Here is a 22,313-nt window from a genome sequence, read left to right on the forward strand (position 1 = left end):
ATTGCTGAATATTCTGTTGTATGGATATATCATGTATTTTGTTTAAATATTAAGCCAGTTGATAGACATTTGAGTGGTTTTCACTTTTTCACTGTTATAAATAAAGTTATTTGCATACCAGTCTGTGTGGGTTTATGTTTTCATTTCTCTTGTGTATACATGTATATACCTAGGAATGGGATTTCTTAATTGTACAGTAAGCATGTTTAGCTTTTAAAGAAACTGCCAAATTGTCTTGCAAAATGGTGTATCATTTTACATTCCTACCAGCAATGTATGTGGTTTCCTGTGTCTTTACATCCTCACCAGTATTTATTGTCTGTTTTAGATTATAGCTATCACAGTGAGTGTGAAATTGTATCTCTTTGTGGTTTTAGTTTGCAGGAAAATGTATTATTTAATTGAATTCCACAAACATTGACTGGGAATGTTATGAGCAAGGTCTTAGATAGAGTGTATGGAAGATACACGGCTGAGTGCAATGGCTCACACCTGTAATCCCAGCACTTCGGGAGGCCTAGGTGGGCAGATCACTTGAGGTCAGGAGTTCAAGACCAGCCTGGCTAACATGGTAAAACCCCATCTCTACTAAAAATACAAAAATTAGCCAGGTGTGTTGGCGCACTGTAGTCCCACCTACTTGGGAGGCTGCAAAGCATGAGAATCACTTGAACCCGGGAGGTGGAGGCTGCAGTGAGCTGAAATTGTGCCACTGCACTCCAGCCTGGGCTACACGAGACTCCATCACAAAAAAAAAAAAAAAAAAAAAAGAATCTACTACAGAAGATACAAAATTGAACTAGATACAGACCATCTAGTTGGACTCTTATTGTTTAGGAGAGTGAGAACAGACATACCATAAAATAACTTGACAGAGGTTTAGAGAATGAGAGAGGTATGGGTTAGGATGATGGAACACAGTATGAACTCAACAGTGGGCAGCAGTTACTAGTAACAACTTATTATAATTATTAATTGACCTTATAACTTCCAGGGCTTTTGACACAGCCCACTGTTCTTTTTCCTGTTACCAATTTTACAGAAAGGTAATAGCAGCTTTGGCCTAGTCTGTCTTCTGCATGCATATTGGCTGCCTGCTTTTCTCTGTTATTTCAGCACAGCCAAATGCCTATTTATTTGTCTTCTTGTAGGTGGGAGCACCGCTCCCAGAATATTTTCTCAGTTTTAACTATGGATTCCTTTTCTTTGCCGTTCTGAGGGCTTGGTATTTGCCTATACTAGCTAAGTGTTCTGGTGTGTGGGGAAAGGTTCTCTGCTTGTGAAGCTTTTGATTGACTACTGAAGGATCATGTGGAGTGCCCCCCCACCCCCCGCCTCGTCTTGCATCAGATTTGGCATGGTATGTCTTTTGCTAGTTATCTGTCATTGTGGTTTTCTAGTCTTTCATTATTGAGTATCTATTAGCTGTTCTCACCAAGAACATATGCTATGTAAAGCCAAATGGAAATGCAGAGTAGAACTGTTACATGTTAGGGAATCAGCAAAATTGTTATTATGGTCAGTCTGTGTTATTGGTGTTAATGAAGTAGAATAATGATGTACCTGTAGACATGGATGGTAGTTTTCACCTCAAGGGAATATTCAGTTGAAGGAGAAGGGAGAGGCTGGATCCAGATTAAAGATTTGTGACTGCTGATGAGGCTGGTAATATTGATAACTTCATGCAGAGGTTTATGGTTTCTAAAATGCTTTAACACATTTTTTTTAATGTGCTAAATGGTAGATGTTCTTTTTAATTTTAATTTGAGTTTTTAGTTTTGAAAATCTCAAATACTCGGAAGAGTATATAACAGATCCTTATGTGTGTAGTTGCCTTCAGAATTTAACAGGTGTTCCTTTTGTTATATTTGCTTCAGGGTTTTTTCTCTCTCTTCCTCTTTAAAGTAATAAAACATCTCAGATACATCCAACTTTCTTTGCCCTCTCTGCTCCCCAGGTAAATATTATCCTAAAGTTGATGTGTATCATTCCCATACATGCTTTTGTACATTTACAGCAGATGATCTATTCATAAACAATATGTACTGTTGCTTGTATGTCTTTATATTTGACACACATAGTATCTTTGGTATATCCTTTCTTTCATCTTTTTTCTTTTTTCTTTTTTTTTTTTTTTTTTTTGAGACGGAGTCTCACTCTGTCACCCAGGCTGGAGTGCAGTGGCGCGATTTCAGCTCACTGCAAGCTCCACCTCCCAGGTTCATGCCATTCTTCTGCCTCAGCCTCCCGAGTAGCTGGGGCTACAGGCGCCCGCCACCACACCCGGCTAATTTTTTGTATTTTTAGTAGAGATGGGGTTTCACCGTGTTAGCCAGGATGGTCTTGATCTTCTGACCTCATGATCCGCCCACCTCAGCCTCCCAAAGTACTGGGATTACAGGCATGAGCCACTGTGCCCAGCATGATTTGTTCATTTTAACTAATTTAATGTAAGTGGTGACCCCTGCAGCTGTGTAACACATCTATTATTTGTAACGTATTATTTAATTGTATGAATAAAACATTCATTGCTACAGTGAACATCTGTGTATATGCATCCTTGTGCCTATAGCAAAGAGGGTTTTGGGATTGATACCTGGACTGGAATTGCTGGGTTATATACTTTCCTTCAGTTTGCCTATATTTTGCCAAATTGCTCTCAAAGGTACTGTATGACTTACAGTATTGTATTGGGTAACATTTACTACTATTTGACATATTACATGTTTACTTGTTTATTTGCTGCCTGGATGCCTGCATTAGTATGTAAGCTTAACAATGGCAGGGATTTTTGTCTCTTGTTCTTTTCTTTGCCTGGCATAGAATAGGCAGTCAGTAAATATTTATTAAATGAATGGATTGTTTCATGAATTTGATCTTCTCAAAGCTTTGGAGTAGGTAGACCAAATAAATAGGCTGTAATGTCTGTTTTCTTATGCCCATTTCTCAGATAAGGAAACTGAAACACAGAGACCGACTGACTTTTTTGGGTTACACACCCAGATAGGATTTCTTTTTTTTTTTTTTTTTTTTTTGAGACGGAGTCTCGCTCTGTCGCCCAGGCCGGACTGCGGACTGCAGTGGCACAATCTCGGCTCACTGCAAGCTCCGCTTCCCGGGTTCACGCCATTCTCCTGCCTCAGCCTCCCCAGTAGCTGGGACTACAGGCGCCCGCCACCGCGCCCGGCTAATTTTTTGTATTTTTTAGTAGAGACGGGGTTTCACCTTGTTAGCCAGGATGGTCTCGATCTCCTGACCTCATGATCCACCCGCCTCGGCCTCCCAAAGTGCTGGGATTACAGGCGTGAGCCACCGCGCCCGGCCAGGATTTCTTGTCTTTTGGCTTTGTCCAAGCTTGTTTTAAGGTATAGGTTAAGATTTATAGTTCTTCTAAAAGATACTATAAACTCTTTATAGGCAGAATCTGACAAAACTAGTTTTCCAACCCTCAAATGTTTGTTAAATACTAGTGTATGCCTAGCATTTTGAAATTTTCAAAAAATGGGAGGTCTTAGCTGGCTAGACTTGAGGTTTACAGTTTTGTGCACTTTATGGCACTTGGTGCTTGGCATATAGATGAGGCACCATTTGTGTTTTTGGAATGAATGAATGAATGAGTTCTTTTGCTTTGGAGTCTTTCACTCTGGCTGTCTCTGTGGGAGACCTGTGGGCAGTAAACAGTTATCTACAAAAAGCCAAAGGAGAAGGCATAAAGAATGTATAGGCCTCAAAGTGTGCTTTCCCAGAAGGCAGCAAGTCTTGTGTTAAGAGACCAGGTTAGATGAGAAAAGGTCTTGGGGAAAGGTCTCGTAATCAGAATTAACTTAGTTGAAAATACATCTGATATACCTACTGAAAACTATAGTTTAGCCTATCTTAAATGTATTCCGAACACTTATATTAGCTAACCGTTGAGCATTTGGCCAAAATCATGTAACACAAAGCCTGTTTGATAGTAAAGTGTTGACTAGCTCATGTAATTTATTGAGTGCTGTACTGAAAGTGAAAAACGGAATGGTTGTGTGAGTACTTGAAGTACAGTTTCTACTGAATGCATATGGATTTCTCACCACTGGAAAGTCGAAAAATAAGCTGGACCATTTTAAGTCAGGGACCATCTATATCTTAGGATCCCCCCGGGGGCTGGGGATGTCTCATAACTTTTAGTTCCAGTAATAAATGGGAAGAAAAGAAATTTACTGTAGGTCAAGTACTGAGCCAAGTACTTTATGGACATTATCTCATTAACCTTGTCTACAATCCCAGTAAGTAGGTGGTAGTATGCACATTTTACAAGTAAGGAAACTGAACCATCTAATAAACTAGTTAGGTTACTTAACTTATGAGCTGGGAAGTTGAACCTAGGTCCACCTTACTGAAATCTCTGCTCCTTCCCTAGACCAGTTTTTCTCTGGAGCAGAAGGAAATGAAGGTCTGATTGGTCTGACATATGCAGAAATTTTAAAAAAAGAATAGGCTCACAGAAGTAAATTCTCAGAGAAACTCTACAGCAGTAGTAGTCATATTAAGCAGCTATTTCTCTTGCCTCTAAGTTTATTAGTTTCAGGATTTTGGTTTGCTTGTATGTCATTCATAAAATTCAAGTGCATCTTAAAGTTCCCATAGTTCCAGGTTTCTTCACTGGAGGAGTGAAGGCCTGGTACCTGCCTAGAGAACTTCATATTGTAATGTCAGATTCTTTGTTAATTAAATGATTTGCAGTAGCATGAGTTTCTCTCCCATGCTCTCTGCTTATTTCTTACTATAGTTTGTGATGGCCATAAGATGGTGCTGCAGTTTTGCAGTCAGCCTTAAGGATAAGGCTTAGGGGAAGAACACCTACTGCAGTTGTGAGGCAGATGGGACATCAGGAGGGTCTTAGAAGGGATTGTGTAAAAGCCGTTGCTTTAGGGCTTCTTGTTGCTTTCCTTTTGTGGTCTTTTCCTTTTTTTTTTTTTTTTTTTTTTTTTCAGGTCTCCAGGAAAGATAGTTAAGGCTATGCTAGTGTAAGTCTTTATGGCTTGCATGGAACCAGGCAGGCTACTGCTTTCTGCTGTGTGGCCTGGATCCTTTTGTTGTAGAATAAATAACTGCAATAGGAAAGAAACACATATATAATTTTATTCTCCATTCACAGCCCTTTGGGTTATAGTCTTTTCCCATATAGCAGATACTATACTAAAAAAAATTGGGGTGGAGGAATCTTCACTGACATCACAAGGTGATTTTTGAATCCGACTTTTACAGTCTGAAATTCAGACTTCCTGCCCTACTGCAATGGGAGTAAAAACCACCTGAACCTCTTTTTGGCAGCTTCTTCTCTTACTCCCAAATGGCAACAAGTGTTATCTCTTTGATTGAGCTCTTGGTCCATGCAGTCTAATTACCAATTCAGAACAGTGGGGGAACTTCTTATTTTACACAACTGGCAACTGAGTACAGATTTCCACTACTGCAGTAGTTAGAAGAGAGTAGTTGGGGTTGAAATTAAAAGTCTTAAAGTTAACAGAAGTTCATGTTCTGGCTTTGTCACTTACTAGCTGTGTAACCTAGGGCTATTAATCAACTTTCTTAAACCTCAGTTTCTTTTTTCTTTTTTGGAGACAGAGTCTTGTTCTGTTGGCCAGGCTGGAGTGCAGTGACATGATCTTGGCTCACTGCAACCTCCACCTCCCAGTTCAAGCAATTCTCATGCCTCAGCCTCCTGAATAGCTGGGACTAAGGGCGCATGCCACTGTGCCCAGCTAATTTTTTGTATTTTAGTAGAGACGGGGTTTCACCATGTTGCCCAGGCTGGTCTTAAACTCCTGAGCTCAGGCAATCCGCCTGCCTTGGCCTTCTAGAGTACTAGGATTATAATAGGCGTGAGCCACTGCGCCTGGCCAAACCTCAGTTTCTTTACCGATAAAATATAAAATAATAGTTTTGACCTCATATAGTGACTGTAAGAATTAAATGAGAAAGTCCATGTAAATAACTTTACACAGTGCTTGGCACACAGCAAGTGCAAAAAATATATTAGATGTTAGCAGTGGCAGCATCAATAATTACTATTGAACATTTTTGTCAAATATTGTTCATCAGAGACCCTGTTCATCTGTTGTATTTAGAAGTGGTATTCTTTTTACCAAGCACTCATTTACTGTACTCAAAACCAACTTCCAGATTTTTCCTGTCTGTGTCATTGGCTGGCAGAATTAACAGATCTTTCTTTTCTTTTATAGGAAAAAGGAGGGAAATAAATGCTCCAGAAGGCTAGATCTTTAAAGTCTGTGTTCCTTTTCTTAACTGTAAGAAGAAGGCTCTGGTTTCTTCAGGTTATAATTTCATTAAAATAATTTTATTGTTTTCTGACCTGAAAAAATTCAGAATATGTATATCTGCTTGATATTTTCTTTTGGGCATCTTGGTGCAACACTTAAAATCTATTTCATTTTGTAGTTTGGGAGCCATAATTGCAGCTTCACCAGGCTTGGTTCTTCTTGGCCCGGGCCCTTCCCTTCCCTTGCTGGTTAGTACCAGCCGAGCTGGTTTGCTTTTTCCCTTTTTGGTACTATTCTCCTCCTCCTTCCTCCACGTTACCTTCTGCCACGGCCTCTCTTCTTTTTCCCTCCATTTTCAATTTACACTTACATTTTCCCTCCTCCTCCTGGCCCTCCCTAGTTTTTCCCCTCCCCTGGTTTCTAGCTCCTTTTTGCTTTCTGTTTGTGTTACTGAGGGCAGTGCTCCAATTACCTCATATTTGGAGAGAGGAAGCTGCAGCCAATCCGGTTTCTGTCTGCTTTTAGGTCAAGTGATTTCTGAACTGCAGTGAGATGCTTTGAATTTGTCTTGTTGCAGCTCTGAGCCTGTAAGATGGCTGTCTGAATCGGCAGCGGCTGGAAGAGACAGAGAGAGGCGGGGAGGGAGGGAGAAAGAATTGGAGGGATTGCCGGCATAGTGCATGTTTTTAAATGTGCATCGAATCCGATGAGGCCAAGGTTGGGATTTCTGTGGGATCCCAGGACTGGCTTAGCTGCGTTTTTGCTGAGATTAGGAGAGGAAGGAAATGGGAAATTCACTGGGCTGTTTTAAGGAGCCGAAAGAGTCAATAGCTATTCCTGAGAAGGCTCCCATATCTCCTAAGAAAAGGGTTCGGTTCAAAAGGAGGTGGAGAGGGAAGAAAATCCCTACTCCAGAGGCATCTCACCAGGAAGAAACCTCAGAAGGAACTGGAGTCATTGAAGAGACTGAAACCCTAACGAAGTTAACAGAGAGTCTCCAAAAGGAAGACGGAGTGGGAGGGGTAGAGCATACCCCCCCAGATATTTTGCTGCCTGGGGACTCAGCCCCCAACTCACGGGTAGTCGATCGGGGGATGATAGTACAGGTAAAGGAGAGATTCCAAGGGGAGGTCCAGACCGCCCACCTTTTGTTAGAGAATGAGTCATCAGTTGCTGGAGGGGTCTGGGATTCCCTGGAAGAGGGGATGACTGTCATTGCTCACCTGCTTGATAACCCAGCAGAAAGGAACTGCGAGAAGTCAGTGAGCCAACTGGTGGAATTTCCTAGGACAGCATCCTGCAGCAGCAGGGCTGTGTTGCTGCCTTTGCAAGGAGAGACTGCAGTGGAGAAAGGAAATATTCAGCGTGGGTTTCGGAGCTGTGCTTTGCCTAGGACAGACTACCCCACTGATAAAGGAAATCAAGAACAATTTTCAGAGGGCTGGAGTGTGGAGGAAGGAACCAAGAGTGTTTCAGGTGCCCCTCAGACAGCTTCCTGGATTATAGAATGTTCTGTTTCTTCATTACTACTGGACCAGCCTGGAGGCCAAAGACGCACGGAGCCTTCCCATGTGGGTCAAGTGCCCCCCCAGGATTCCAGACTGCCTACTTCTCAGAGTGATTTGTCCATCAGTGGTGTGACTGTGAGCATTTTGCCCTCCTCCTCTGGCTATGGCAGTGATGGGCCACACATACATGGGATCCAGCCTAAAGATACAGAACCTGAAAAGAGCTCTACTTCCTTCTCAGAAGAGGATGGCACTCTTTCTCTGGAGGCAAGCCACACCCCATCATGGGGTCTGGAAGAGGTAGGTGGGCATGTTCAAGAGATAATCAAACTGCTGTTTGGATTCTTGGCCCTCAAACATATTAAAGCTGAGTGTGGTGAGCAGTGAGGATGTTGGTGCCTCTCAAACTTACCCCCATGTGGGTTAGTATCTGCTGGAGCTCAGCAAGCAGAATCTATTTCAGGTCTGCCCCTTGATGCTTGAAACCAAGACTTGTCTCTGGGGAATCCCTGATTCTGAGTAGCCAAGTGGCGTAATTGCTCAAGCTATCTGGTGGGATGATCTCTCAAGGTGCAATGCTAGATAGTACTTACTCTCAGGCAGGTCTGTTTACCAGCTTCCCTGCTACGAGAAGTTGTAATGTAGCACAAGAGACGATGGGGAAGGGCCTAACTGAATCTCTGGAATGAATCTCTGGAATAAATGTGGAAGGGGTCAGGCAGCTGTTGTCAGTGTACTTGCTCTTCCTCACAGGAGAGTGATATTCTTACTAGAGCTGATGCAATCCCATCCCTGTTGGGAAATTTCTGACGGCAGCACTCATTCAGTATTTGTATAGGTGGAGAGGGCTCATCCTTCTTTGGTTCCTAATTCCAGGATTAGAGGAGAGGGACAGAGTTATCTGGGGATTAGTTGAGAGAGAGAGAGGGAGGTTAGGGCAATTTGAAGGTTTAAGGCTAGAAAAGTTTGTTTTGTGACTGGATGTATTTAGGGCTTTAACATGATTTTGTTTTGAGGAATATATTGAGGCATGGATGGTGCTGCTGGTGGTGGTGGTAATGGCAGTTTCTGTGAATGTTTTAAAGGTCAAGGAGCAAGTGAGAATTCAGAGATGTGAACACTGAGATAAGGACTCAGCAAGACCATGGGTAGCACAGCATCTGGCATGTAGGTGTGTGATTGTGTGGGTGATTGAAGTTATAATTCACCAATGGCTAAAGAACTTTTACTGGGATGTTGGCCTCTGCAGCAGAAGAAATAAAAACATTAGGACTTCAAAGTGCAAAATTTATAAAATGAGGTAGGGCACTTTCCTTGCCTAGATGGGGGCCACTGATACTGTACAGGGGCCCTGATGTTTGCAGAGCAGGGATATGGTCTACCTACTGGTGCCCTGCCTATCACTAGCAGCATAAGGCTGAGGATAGATACAAATTCTGAGCAATCTGTGCCTAGAATTTCCTCTTTGGGGATACATTTTCCCCACAGACAGCCCCATCTTAGTGCCCTCTGTTATTAGAGTTTGGAGACTCCCAACAGGTTGAAGAAAAAGTGGCCATTGAAAAAATATCTATTTTATGGATGGGCAAGAGGTTTCTTGGGCCTCATATAAACATGGATATGTGTGGTGGGGAGTGTGATAGTTGTGTTATGGTAGGAAGGAAGGCAGTGAAACTACTGGGATATGGGGCGCATGAATGTATTAAGCTATTCTTGCATTGCTATAAATAAATACCTGAGACTGGGTAATTTACAAAGTAAAGAGGTTTAATTGGTATACAGTTCTGCAGGCTGTACAGAAAGCATGATGCTGGCATCTGCTCAGCTTCTGAAGAGGCCTGAGGAAACTTACAATCTTGGTGGAAGGCAGAGGAGCAGTAGGCATGTCACTTGGCTACAGCAGGAACGAGAGGTTGTGGGTGGGATGTGCCACACACTTTTAAATGACCGAATCTCATGAAAACCCACCTACCCTCACGAGAACAGCACCAAGGGGATGGTGCTAAACCATTCATGAGAAATCCACTTTCATGATTCATGATCCAGTCGTCTCCCACCAGGTCCCACTTCCAGTATTAGGGATTACAATTCAACATGAGATTTGGTAGGGACACAGATTGAAACCATATCAACAAGTATTTGGGTTTCATCAGATAAAAAAGAATGTCAAAGTCAACTTTTATCTTGTAAAAGTTGGAACAGATAGAGTAGTTGGGGGTAAAACCAGCTGTGGAACTGATTGTTGTACAACTGGCATTAAAATTGAAATTGTGTAGTCATCATAACATTATAGGACACATGCTTGTAACTGAGTGTGAGATTTTCAGAAATTTGGCATATAAAGTTTTAGGAACTCCTAGTAAAATCAATCCTAGATAATAGACCATAGATAGCAATGGCACCTTTGTATGGGCTGGATCTCCACACTGGCAAGGGAATGTTCTGCATGAGTCTGTGAGGAGTCTTAAAGAAAAGATTGTTAGGAGAAACCTTTGGACCATGATCTGTAGTGTGACCATATTGGCAACAGTATGATTCCTTTGCTGTTCAGTATGATTCAAATTGGTGTGTGGCATTTTCTGGGTAGCCAACCTCTGCATCTATTCCTTCTACCTTTTCACTGCAGACACAGTCATACTACTTATGTATAGCCAAGGCTGAAAAACTAAGTGACCGAGTCTCAGCTCAGACACCTGGCATATTTCCAGGTTTTGTGTCCATCATGTGATACAGGGACCACAGACTCACCATCCTATATGACAGATAAGAAGTAACTTATCAAGATAAGTGTGACATTCCTTCAGAATGAAAGTCCTTAAGGCCAAGAGGCTGCAACTCTCACTGGTCCCTGAAGGAACTGTCTTCAGGGAGCTGCTCCCCTCCCTAACAGGCTGTTCACAGGCTTGAGGACAGTAGCAGCCAGAGAAACAGAGAGGGCAACGCATACTGAAACCGATAGGCAGGGCAAGAGCATCTCTGCTAAAGTGGGAAAGCTGGGAGGGCAAGGGTCAGAAGAGCAGCTGCTGCTGTTCACACACCAACTCCTGTCTAAACAGGAGACAGCTGGCAGTCCAATTGAGTTGTTTTTTGCTTGCTTTTTTGGTGGTGGTTTTGTTTTTAATATGTCAGAGTAGTAACTATCCTCAGAAAATAATTTGAGTTCCAGCCAGACTGTCTCCTCTGTTGATTAGTCCAGGGCTTGTTGATGAGAGTGAGACCAGGCTATGGATAGACATAAACTTCACCATGGGTTTTGTTGCTTTTTAGGATGGAGAGAAATGGGAACTGATTGTGCTTCTTGCTAGTGTAGGGTTTAGATAGTAGAATATACATGATCTGCTTTTCTATTCACCTAGTACAGTTAATACTTCTTTTGTCAAGAAATAGTTAACACAGAAGCAAGATGACAAGGGTCAGCTGACAAATATGTTTTCAGAATGACAAGTAGACTAGGATTTGGAGCTGGATGGGAACAGGCTAATAGCAATCGCTCTTTGATGTCAGACAAAGGCCTTCTTCTCTGGCCCATTTCTTCTCTCAGGACTCCCTATTCCCAGCTGCTTTCAATATCCATACTACTAATACCTGGCTTATTTCAACAAGGAACATTTTTGAAAATCCCTTCCTCCTCCCCATCTTGACTTCTGCTGCCAAGCTCCTGCCCACCTTGTTAGCGAATCCCATTTAATGAAGCATTTACCTCTATACCAATTTTTTTTTTTTTTTTTTTTTTTGACACGGAGTCTGGCTCTGTCACCGAGGCTGCAGTGCAGTGGTGCGATCTCGGCTCACTGCAGCCTCTGCCTCCCGGGTTCCAGCTATTCGCCTGCCTCAGCCTCCCGAGTAACTGGGATTACAGGCGCCCGCCCCCACCACGCCCAGCTATATACCAGTGTTCTTGCCACAACCCTTCGAGTCTCTACAATTTTAGGTGAATAGTCAGATAACACTGGGGCCTAGAAATGATAAGAAAGAGGTTGGTTGGTGTATTATCTTCTGGGCTCAGCCTTTTCAGTTTACAAGTATCCCTCTCCCAGTTTTCCTTTTTAATTATAGGGAGAGTTGTTTTACTAATACTGGCTTTGTACTGAAAGAAGAAAGCAAAATTAACCAGATGACACTATTGGGGGAATGCAGAAGGTAAAGTTATAGTTTAGAACTTTAAGAAAGGATTTTGTTTCTTTTTCTTTTTTTTTGAGACGGAGTCTTGCTCTGTCACCCAGGCTGGAATGCGGTGGCCCTACCTCAGCTCACTGAACCTCTGCCTCCCGGGTTCACGCCATTCTCCTGCCTCAGAGTAGCTGGGACTACAGGCGCCTGCCACCATGCCCGGCTAATTTTTTGTATTTTTAATAGAGACAGGGTTTCACCGTGTTAGCCAGGATGGTCTCGATCTCCTGACCTCGTAATCCGCCCGCCTCGGCTTCCCAAAGTGCTGGGATTACAGGCGTGAGCCACCGCGCCCAGCCTTGTTTCTTTTTAAAAAAATTTTACTTAATTAAAAATGTTACTAAAGAATCATTATTTTTTAGGTGTAACAATAGTGTTGTGGTTATGTTTTAAAAAAGGCCTTTTACAGATACATACTGAAATGTTTTTAGAGAAAAACAGGAGATTTACTTTATCATAATAGGGGAAGGGTGAAGTGGGTGGGATGTAGATGAAACAAGATTAGCTATGAGTTGATAATGGTTGAAACTGGGTAATAGGTACATAGGGACTTATTATACTATTCTGTCTCCTTTTGTATATATTTGAAAATTTCCATTTCAAATAGAAAATTAAGAAAAAAATTGTATAAAAATAAAATGAAATTAAAAAATAAAATTGTATAAAAATAAAATGGAAAGTTAGGCAAAATAAGTTGTATAAAAATAAAAATGTAATAATACTGGTAAAATTATGATATAATACATATACAGTTGGCTCTCTGCATTGTGGGTTCTGCGTCTGGGGATTCAACCCATAACGGATGGAAAATATTCTGAAGAAAAACATTGCATCTGTAATGAACATGTACAGACTTCATTATTCCCTAAACAAGATAACAACTATTTACTAACATTTACATTGTATTAGGAATTATAAGTAATCTAGAGATTATTTAAAGTAGCTGGGAGGATGTACACAGGTTGTATGTGAATACTACCTCATTTTGTATCTGGGACTTGAGCATTTGTGGATTTCAGTATCTGCGGATTTTGGTATCTGAGGGAGGTCCTAGAACCAATTCTCCATGGATGACTACTGAAAAGGGGTTACTATCCTATAGATAAAGTGATTAAGAGCATGGAGCCAGATTGGCTAGGTTTGAATCCCAATTCTGCAACTTACTAGCAGTATAACTTGGAACAGGTTACTAAACTTCTCTGTGCTACAATTTCCTTATTTGTAAATGGAAGATAAGAATAGCATATGCTTGGTAGGGTTGTTGTGAGAATAATATGAATTAATACAAGTAATCACAATAAATGCTAGTTAATATTATTACTTAAAAGAACAAGAAAATGAATAAGAAAAAGACAAACACCCTTGTAGAAAAATAGGGGAAAGCCCAGGAATAAGCAATTCACAAAAAAAGGAAATCCAAATGCCTCATATACATAAGAAGACTCCTTTTTACTAATAAGGATATACAGATCAAACAACAATAAGATACTTTTTTTTTTTTTTTTTGAGACAGAGTCTCGCTCTGTCGCCCAGGCTGGAGTGCAGTGGCGCGATCTCGGCTCGCTGCAAGTTCCATCTCCCAGGTTCACGCCATTCTCCCGCCTCAGCCTCCCGAGTAGCTGGGACTACAGGCGCCCGCCGCCATGCCCGGTTAATTTTGTTTTTGTATTTTTAGTAGAGACGGGGTTTCACTGTGTTAGCCAGGATGGTCTTGATCTCTTGACTTCGTGACCCGCCCGCCTCTGCCTCCCAAAGTGCTGGAATTACGGTGTGAGCCACTGCGCCTGTAATTTTTTTTAAAGAGATGAGGTCTCAGCTATGTTGCCCAGGCTAGAGAGCAGTGGCGATTCACAGGTACCATCATAGCGCACAGTAGCCATAAACTCCTGGACTCAAGCTTGTAGCTGGGACTGCAAGCACACCACCATGCCTAGCTAAGATACCATTTTATACCCATCAGATTGGCAGAAGGTAAAAATTCTGAAAATACCAAGTGTAGGCGAGGATGAAGAGTGATGGGAAAACCTCTTCATAGCACTTAAGTGGAAGTATAATTTGCTACTGTTCTTTAGAAAGTAGTTTGACAATATTTTGTAGAGTTGAAAAATGCCCATGTTCTATTACCTAGGGTTTCCATTCTAATTATATTCCCTAGTGAGACCTCCAGGACTCTGAATGTGAATACTGAAAGGAGCACTCCCTTTTACCTAACTCTAATATTGGTAATAAACACCTTCTTTATCTCTGTTCCTCACCAACATAGCTGCCATTAGATCCCTCTAGCTGGGCATTTGTAGAACCACTGCATTGTGCCTTCATCTGCTTCTTCTTCTTCTTTTTTTTTTTTTGAGAAAGAATCTTGCTCTGACACCTGGCTGGAGAGCAGTGGTGCAATCATAGCTCACTGCAACCTTGACATCTTGGGCTTAAACGATCCTCGTGCCTCAACTTGCCAAGTAGCTGGCACTACAGGGGAGTACCACCACACCCAGCTAATTTTTAAATTTTTTGTAGAGACAATTTCTCACAGTGTTTCCCAGGCTCGTCTTGAACTCCTGGGCTCAAGTGATCCTCTTGCCTATGCCTCCCAAAGTGGTGGGATTACAGGAGTGAGCCACTGCACCCAGCCCTCATTTGCTTCTTGAAAGTTTTCAAGGTCTGATGCTTTATCTTTAGTGGGTGATGAGGTCAGCTAGAAACTTGAGGACATAATAATCAAGTACTTACTTGCTCAGAACAACTCGTCTCATCCACTGAGAGACTTACCAAGTCCAAACTCCTCAGCTGGGATAAGATAAGATACCAAGTCGAAACTCCTCAGCTGGGATAAAGATAAGATAGATTACCAGTTCCTTTGTAATCTATCTTATCTTTTCTATCGGTTCCCAATTTAAACCTTCTCATTTTAACAGATCAGTCCCTTAACTACTATTTCTGTTTCACCTTATCTCAGTTTGTTTACATCCACTTTCTACGTGGAATTCCTTTCTTCCTTGGCTTTCACCTGTTCTGTAACACCCTTCAAGGATGAGTTTATATGGTACTTCTAGAAATCCTCCAGCCCACAGTAATTTTCCATTCTGCTGAGATTCTGTATTGGATATTACTATAATTATTGGTCGTTTTTGGCTATAAATTTGTTTAACTATTTCATGTGACCTACCATAGATATGAGATTTTTTTCGTCCAGAAATTAACCTTCAGAAAAGAGATATTCTCTTTATATTTTACTTCTTATAAAGCATTTCTTGTTATTAGGCTTCCAGGGAGCTTATAGTCAGTTCATGAAAAAGGGTGAATAAATCTATGTCACCATCTGCTAGTTCAATCACTATCATTTTTTTGTAGAGATCAACTGACATAATTGATTAAACAAAAAAGAGGAATGAAAAATCTAAGAAAGTTTTAGTTATTGTTCCTGGGAATATAATCTCCTAATTTGAAGTGTTGAAAGTAATTGTATACAAGCCTTAACATTAAAATTTTTTTTTGAATCACTCACATTGCATATGAAACATACACATACATTATGGGGATCACAAATAAACACAGCAGAATGAATGAAAAAAAAAAAAAACCCTAATCCAGTGTTATGTAACTGGACTCTTGTGGTTTGAAATGAAATACCCAGAGACAATGTAGATTCAGAAAAGTGCTGTTATTAACTTTAAAATCTTAGAAAAGTAGACAGTATTTTCTAGAAAATTCACTAAAAAGATAGCTTTATTGAAGGAAAAAACATTGATGTTAAAGATGCATGTGAAGTTTGAATAATACAGTTTTTTGAAATTACAAAGGCAGAAAATACATTAATACTAAATGCTTAAATATACTGCTTAATTTTAAATATGTGTATATGTGTAAATAAATTTCTAAAAGTTTGGGTATTCAGGAGGACTACAGAGCTTCCCTTCCTGTATTCCTGTTTTACCTTCATACATCTGTTGTTATCTGGGAAAATATTTGGGATAATCATATGTTAGTTATGGCATGTCTCAACTAAGTTCTTGCAGGCCAAGCATGTCTTCTTTTTTTGTTTTCCACCTTTTTACCTGGCCAACTTCTACTTATTAAAACTCAGCACAGATGTTGTTGTTGCTGAGCAATCCTCTGGCATTGCTAGTTTGGATTACTTGCTTACCTCTGTCACAACATTGATCTCTTTGTATAGTAAATTGTCTCCCTGATTAAATTGCTTGAACTTGAGGCCTGAGGCTGTGTTTTTTTATTTTGAGATATCAAGAATTTAAGCACAGCTCCTAGAATATAATGGTTGCTCAAAAAATATTAACAGTATAAGTAAGTGGTGTGTCTTTTCTTGTTCTTCTCCATGGTGCCAGTCATAGTGCTAAGATGTTGTTCAGTCAATACTTATTGAATTATTAGGAAAACATTCAGCTTCTGGGAATACTTCAGAGAAGCAATTAACCAAGCTTTGGGAAGTGTGAGATGAAAGGAAATTCAAGTGGAATTTGCATATTCTCAGGCATACTGTTGAGGCTGTTCTCCCTCTCCAAATGGCTTCCTCCTTAAAAAGCCCAGATGAGGGAGAAAGATCTCTGAAACTAAAGCTGGATTTCTGCATTTGGGAGATTAAGGTAAAAGCTTCTGCATAGCCCAGAGCACAGTACTGTGCACACATATCATGTGTGAGTATACAGAAAGAGATTGATGAAAGCCAAATTTAATTACTGAGATGGTTGTGATGATAATCCCATTTTTCTCATCCAGTTTCCAGTCTAGGTAATGGCCCTAATCCAAACAGGTATTTTATTTTTCTTTCCCTTAGGGATCCAAACATCTATCTCATTACAACTATGTTTAAAATCTGAAGTAAAGCTGTTCATTGAAGTAGTTTTAGTGCAATATACAGAAATACTAAGAAATGAGAGATGTTATTAGAAAGATTATGGCTGTAATGAACATACAATATCAATTAACTAACTGGAATTTCATTTTTGGGTGAAGAACCCAAATACTCAGATTTTGTTTTGCTTATTCAAGTTCTGTCTTGTTTTACATCAACAAATCTATTTCCTGTTCCCAATAATGTTTTACTTTAATATGTACGTGAAGCAGCTACAGTGAAGGCAGTGGGATATATCAATGTTGCATTTAGCCAGTGAAATAGGTAGCTAGAAATGTTAAGGGGAACTGAAATAGAATTGGTACTAGGAAGAAGCTGTTTATAGGAAGAGCCGTGATCCATTATTGTGTCCTTGGCTCTGCAGCTCCATAGCTTCTCTCCCCACTACCGCCCCTCCCCCAGCCCCAGGTAGATCTGGAGTTGATTAATAGTTTTAGTAAACTGACTCACACTGATCACATTTGCTTGAGATTGGTCTATGTGAATTTATTAATTTACAAAATAAATTTTAACTGCCAAGTGATTCAAGAATTTGAATTGGCCACTTACTGCTTTTGTTGCTTTAGAATATCTATATGGGAAGCAAATAATAATCTGAAGGTTGTCAGGTGAACATGCAGTCAGAGCAGAGAGGTGGTGAGTAGAGGAATGATTTGTAGGATGGGCTTATTAGCTGGCATCATCAAAGTAGAATAGTCTGATTTCTTCTGTAGAAATGTACCTGTCAAGGGCATAAGATCCTATGTCCCTTGAATCTGCTGGGTAGGGTACAGTTTCACCTTCACAGGCATGGAGGCAGTACTTCCTGGCTTCCCTTTTCTGTACTCAATGCAAGCTTCCCATACTCTTCTATTCTCACGGTCTTTCTTCAGACATCTTAGTAATATTTAGTAGCCTGCAGCTTTCTTTTATTCTAAATATAGTGTTAAAGTTCCTGGCCCTTTTTTTTTTCCAATTTTAAAATATCATCTGATATTTAATCTCATCTATTATGAGTTTGTAAATTCAGACACTTGGAGATGACTTATTATTGACTTCTCCCTTGTATTGATCACAAGGGAAGCTACTACTTTCATGGTACTGCACCTGATAGAGACGACTAAGAGACAGGATGTTCTATTGACATGCCGGTGTTTTCTCTGCCCCAACACCCAGACCAAAAATTGTGTTGGGTATGCTGTCTTATTATTATGGGAAGGGAATACATGTACCCTCGGCACTATCTACATCATCTTATTTAATCCTTATAATGATCCTTTGAGAAAGTTATTATCCTATTTTAAATATGGGGAAAATTGGGCCAGGAGGCTTACATGGTTTGCCTGAGGTCACATTTCTAGTAAATGCCTTCTTTCAAACACATATCTGTCTGAATGAAAGGCTTAACATTTTTCCTTGTTAACAAGGATTGTTTTTATACTTTTTATTATAAAAATAAAGTGTGGTCATTACTCGAAGTCTGAAAAAAAGAAGAGTAGGAAGAAAAACTAAAGTCATTCATAGTCCCACTCCAGAGGAGACAAATATAAACTTGTTTACTTTACACAGTGCTTTGAATTAGCTAAGTAACCTGTCTACAGATTCTAGGTGGGCTTTATGCCAGAATACTTTTTTTTTTTGAGACAGAGTCCCGCTCTGTCACCTAGGCGGGAGTGGTCTCGAACTCCTGACCTCAGGTGATCCACCTGCCTCGGCCTCCCAAAATGTTGGGATTATAGGTGTGAGCCACTGTGCCCAGCCCCCAAAATACTTTTATTTGCTTATTTTTATTATTTCATTTTATTTTTATTATTTCATTCATAAACCAAGTTATTATTAATTAAAACATGTTAAGGTCCCACCATACAACCAGCACAACACTAAGTGCAATGGGCAATGCACCAAAGGACTGTGATCAATGATTCTCAGATTTGGAAGTTATTTCGTTCACAGCATCTTAGTTTCTGCTTGACACGTCCAGTGGCGAGGAGCTCTCCCACATAGGGTTTGCTGTTCAGTTTTATATTGCTCTGGTTGTTAAGATGTGGTGCCAGCCCCCCTCAGGAAACGTGCAGTCTAGGGGAGATAAGATTAAATATATGAAATAATAGTCCATAATGCAAAATAACATTTATTTATTTATTTATTTTTATGTTTTTGAGACAGAGTCTCACTCTGTCGCCCAGGCTAGGGTGCAGTGGCACAATTTCAGCTCACCACAACCTCCACCTCCTGGGTTCAAGCGATTCTCGTGCCTCAGCCTCCCAAGTAGCTAGGACTACAGGTGCGTGCCACCATGCCTGGTTAATTTTTATATTTTTAGTAGAGATGGGGTTTCACCATGTCGGCCAGGCTGGTCTCAAACTCCTGACCTCAGGTGATCTGCCTGCCTCAGCCTCCCAAAGAGCTGGGATTACAGGCGTGAGCCACTGCACACAGCCCAAAATAACATTTAATTAGATGATGATACAGACTGTCAGTGCTGTGGGAGTTAGACAAGTAAGAATCGAAGGAAGACCAGCCTTCAAATAAGGAAGAGATAAGGGAACCCTTATTTGTTGAGCATAACCCTGAGTTTGGGTTAGGTGCTTTAATGTGTAATCTCGCTGATTATCACAGCAACCCTGAAAAGGTGGTATTAGTCCCACTTTGCACACATGAGACATGCACTTTTTCCTCACCTGCATTATGATCTCCCTAAAATAGGTCTTGTGCTGTATTTTGGAGATTTCTTAAAATAGCTTTTTTCTTATTATAAAAATGTACAGGATGCAGAATATTTGGAAAATATAAAAATCCCCTGTAATGTTACTCCATAGAGGTAACTATGATTATTAGTTTGCTGTATTTCTCACATACGTACAGTATTTGCACCTGTATTGCATACATAGGTGCGTGTGTATGCCTTGTACATATATATGACTGTATACTTAAATGTATATTTTGTATGTCTTTTATACAAAATAATCAAGATTACTATATTATTTTGTTTATATTCTTTTTCTTAAATTTGGTAATCATTGTCCTATGTCATTAAAATTTTCTTTGTAAAACTTTTTTATTTACTTTTTTGAGATGGAGTCTCACTCTGTCACTCAGGCTGCAGTGTTGTGGCATGATCATACTTCACTGCAGTCTTGATCTCTCGGCTTCAAGTGATCCTCCCACCTCAGCCTCATGAGTAACTGGGACTACAGGCATGAGCCACTGCACCTGGTGTGAAATTTTCTAAAGCATAACTTTTTAGGTGCTACAAAGAATTCTATTCTGCTATAATTGTGCTATGATTTATAACCAGTCAACCCCTCATTAGAATTTAAGCTTTTTATAACTTTTTGCTAAGTCATGTTTATTATGCTTTGATAAATATTCATGCATAAAATTATTTGTTTATATTTCTGATGACTTCCTATCAAGTTGTATGTATGTTTTAAGACTTGATTCAAAACTGACATCCAGAGAAGTTATGCCATTTTATACTCTCACTAGTGGCGGTGTATGATGATACCCAGTTGTAGATCTTCTCTCCAATCGTGAATAATATCATTAAAAACAAACATTTCCTAGTTTGATAGGTGAAAAATTACCTCTCATGGTTTTAATTTGCATTTATTTGACTAGCAAGAGGGGGAATATATGTTGGAATAGTCCTCTAAAGTGCTTCCAGCCTTGGACCTTCGTTTTACTAAGAGCCATAATGTATGGAGAAGAGAAGGCTAAAAGACTTTGTCTTATTTATAATGAATTATTCTGTGTCCCATCTTTTGGCAGATCTCTGACATCTACATTAGTGGAGAATCAGGGGATATGTCAGCCAAGGAGAAACTACTCCTGTGGACCCAGAAGGTGACAGCTGGTTACACAGGAATCAAATGCACCAACTTTTCCTCCTGCTGGAGTGATGGGAAGATGTTCAATGCACTCATTCACCGATACCGGTAAGAACAGTGGAATTTCTGTGCTCCTGCAGGGCTTTTTCTCATCTCTTGTTTGTAATTAGTTATAATACTGTTTCCATCTCCTCAATCAAAAATCAAAGCTTTGATTCATTTGTTCATTTGAAAAAGAAACATTTATTTAACTACTTTTCTAGGAACTGGGTACAAGTAGCAGTGAAGAAAACAGCGAAAGTTCTTGCTCTCATGGAACTTATCTTTCAGTAGGGAGAATAGGTAATAAATGTATGCCATCAAGCAGTGGTAAATGCAATGGCAGGATTAGAAAGTGGCAGAGGTTTGTGGTACTTTGGACAGGGTGGTCAGAGATGGCCTTTTTGGTGAGCGTGTTAAAGCAGAGCCATGAGGGAGTGAGTCATCCAGGCTTCTGGGGTCAGAGTGTTCCAGTCGGAAGAAATACAAATGCAAAGGGCCTGGAGTGAGGGCTTGCTTAGAGTGGTTTAGGGACAGCAGGTGGCTGAAGTGAGGTGAGGACGATAGGAATTCTGAATGACAAAAATAAAAATTGTTGAGTTCTTAGTGGTCATAAACATGCCCCAATTTTCAGTTCTAACCGACGATATTTTTCCCATGACATTCAACAAACCTAAACTGTATGTTTAAGTTTAGCATTAGGGAGCACTGGGCCCCTGGTGTATACTTAAAAATGGAATTTGTACTCTTCTAAACCTCCTGCTTTTTCTCTAACTCACTTAGTGTTTTTCAGCTCTGGGAACTTTCAGGAGGTTTTCTTTGTGTAAACTCATGTGTGATGTGTAGATGGTGGCGTTTCATGTGCCTTGCTGGACTTTTACAGACCCGATCTAGTAGACATGGAGAGGGTGCAAATCCAAAGTAACCGAGAGAATCTGGAACAGGCTTTTGAAGTGGCAGAAAGACTGGGGGTCACTCGCCTGCTGGATGCAGAAGGTGAGAGGGAGTTTACTGAACTTGAGTAAGGAACACGTATTCAGTATTCCTTCTTCTGGCAAGTTCCTTTGTTCTGACTAAGAAATTTCTTGTCCATTCTCTCTCAGATGTGGATGTGCCATCTCCAGATGAAAAGTCTGTAATCACTTATGTGTCTTCGATTTATGATGCCTTCCCTAAAGTTCCTGAGGGTGGAGAAGGGATCAGTGCTACGGTAAAAGAACATTTTCCTAGAAGGCCTTCTGACTTTGATTCATTTGGGTGAAATGCATTGGTTAGACACTTTCTTAAGCACTTATGGTATACTCATGGTATCAAACTATATATCCAGTATCTTTATCATACATGGACATTATCCTTGGCCCTGGAAATGAGTCTAGATATTGCTAATTTTGTAACAATTAGCATAGACTATTTGGTGCTAAATGCCAGCAAAGAATGTCTCTTTCATCCCCAGCTGTAATTCAAGATGAGGAAGTGTTTTATCAGTCACTTATGTATCAGCTTGATTAGGTAGATCATGGCTCTTTTCAGAATATTTTTAGTAGCTTGGTTTGTAGCCTTTCTTAGTGTCAGGAAATTGAACCCCATCCTGAGAGCCCTTGAGGAGCTTTGAAGCTAGTACTGTGAGCATTAAACTGAGCAGCATCTAGGCAATTAA

At 40.4% G+C, this 22,313-nt stretch overlaps 1 protein-coding gene across 2 annotated transcripts in view; it reads left to right on the forward strand.

The window, feature by feature from the left end:
- MACF1 (microtubule actin crosslinking factor 1) overlaps nt 1-22,313 on the forward strand; it is a 402,972-nt gene that overhangs the window by 177,483 nt on the left and 203,176 nt on the right. For both annotated transcript variants that reach the window (NM_012090.5, NM_001394062.1), the window contains 3 exons: nt 20,559-20,725; nt 21,540-21,652; nt 21,760-21,866. In NM_012090.5, the coding sequence (NP_036222.3) occupies nt 20,559-20,725; nt 21,540-21,652; nt 21,760-21,866 (387 nt within the window). The remainder of the gene's footprint in view (nt 1-20,558; nt 20,726-21,539; nt 21,653-21,759; nt 21,867-22,313) is intronic.

The sequence above is a fragment of the Homo sapiens genome, chromosome 1 (genome assembly GCF_000001405.40).
Source record: "Homo sapiens chromosome 1, GRCh38.p14 Primary Assembly".
Taxonomy (NCBI): Eukaryota; Metazoa; Chordata; class Mammalia; order Primates; family Hominidae; genus Homo; species Homo sapiens.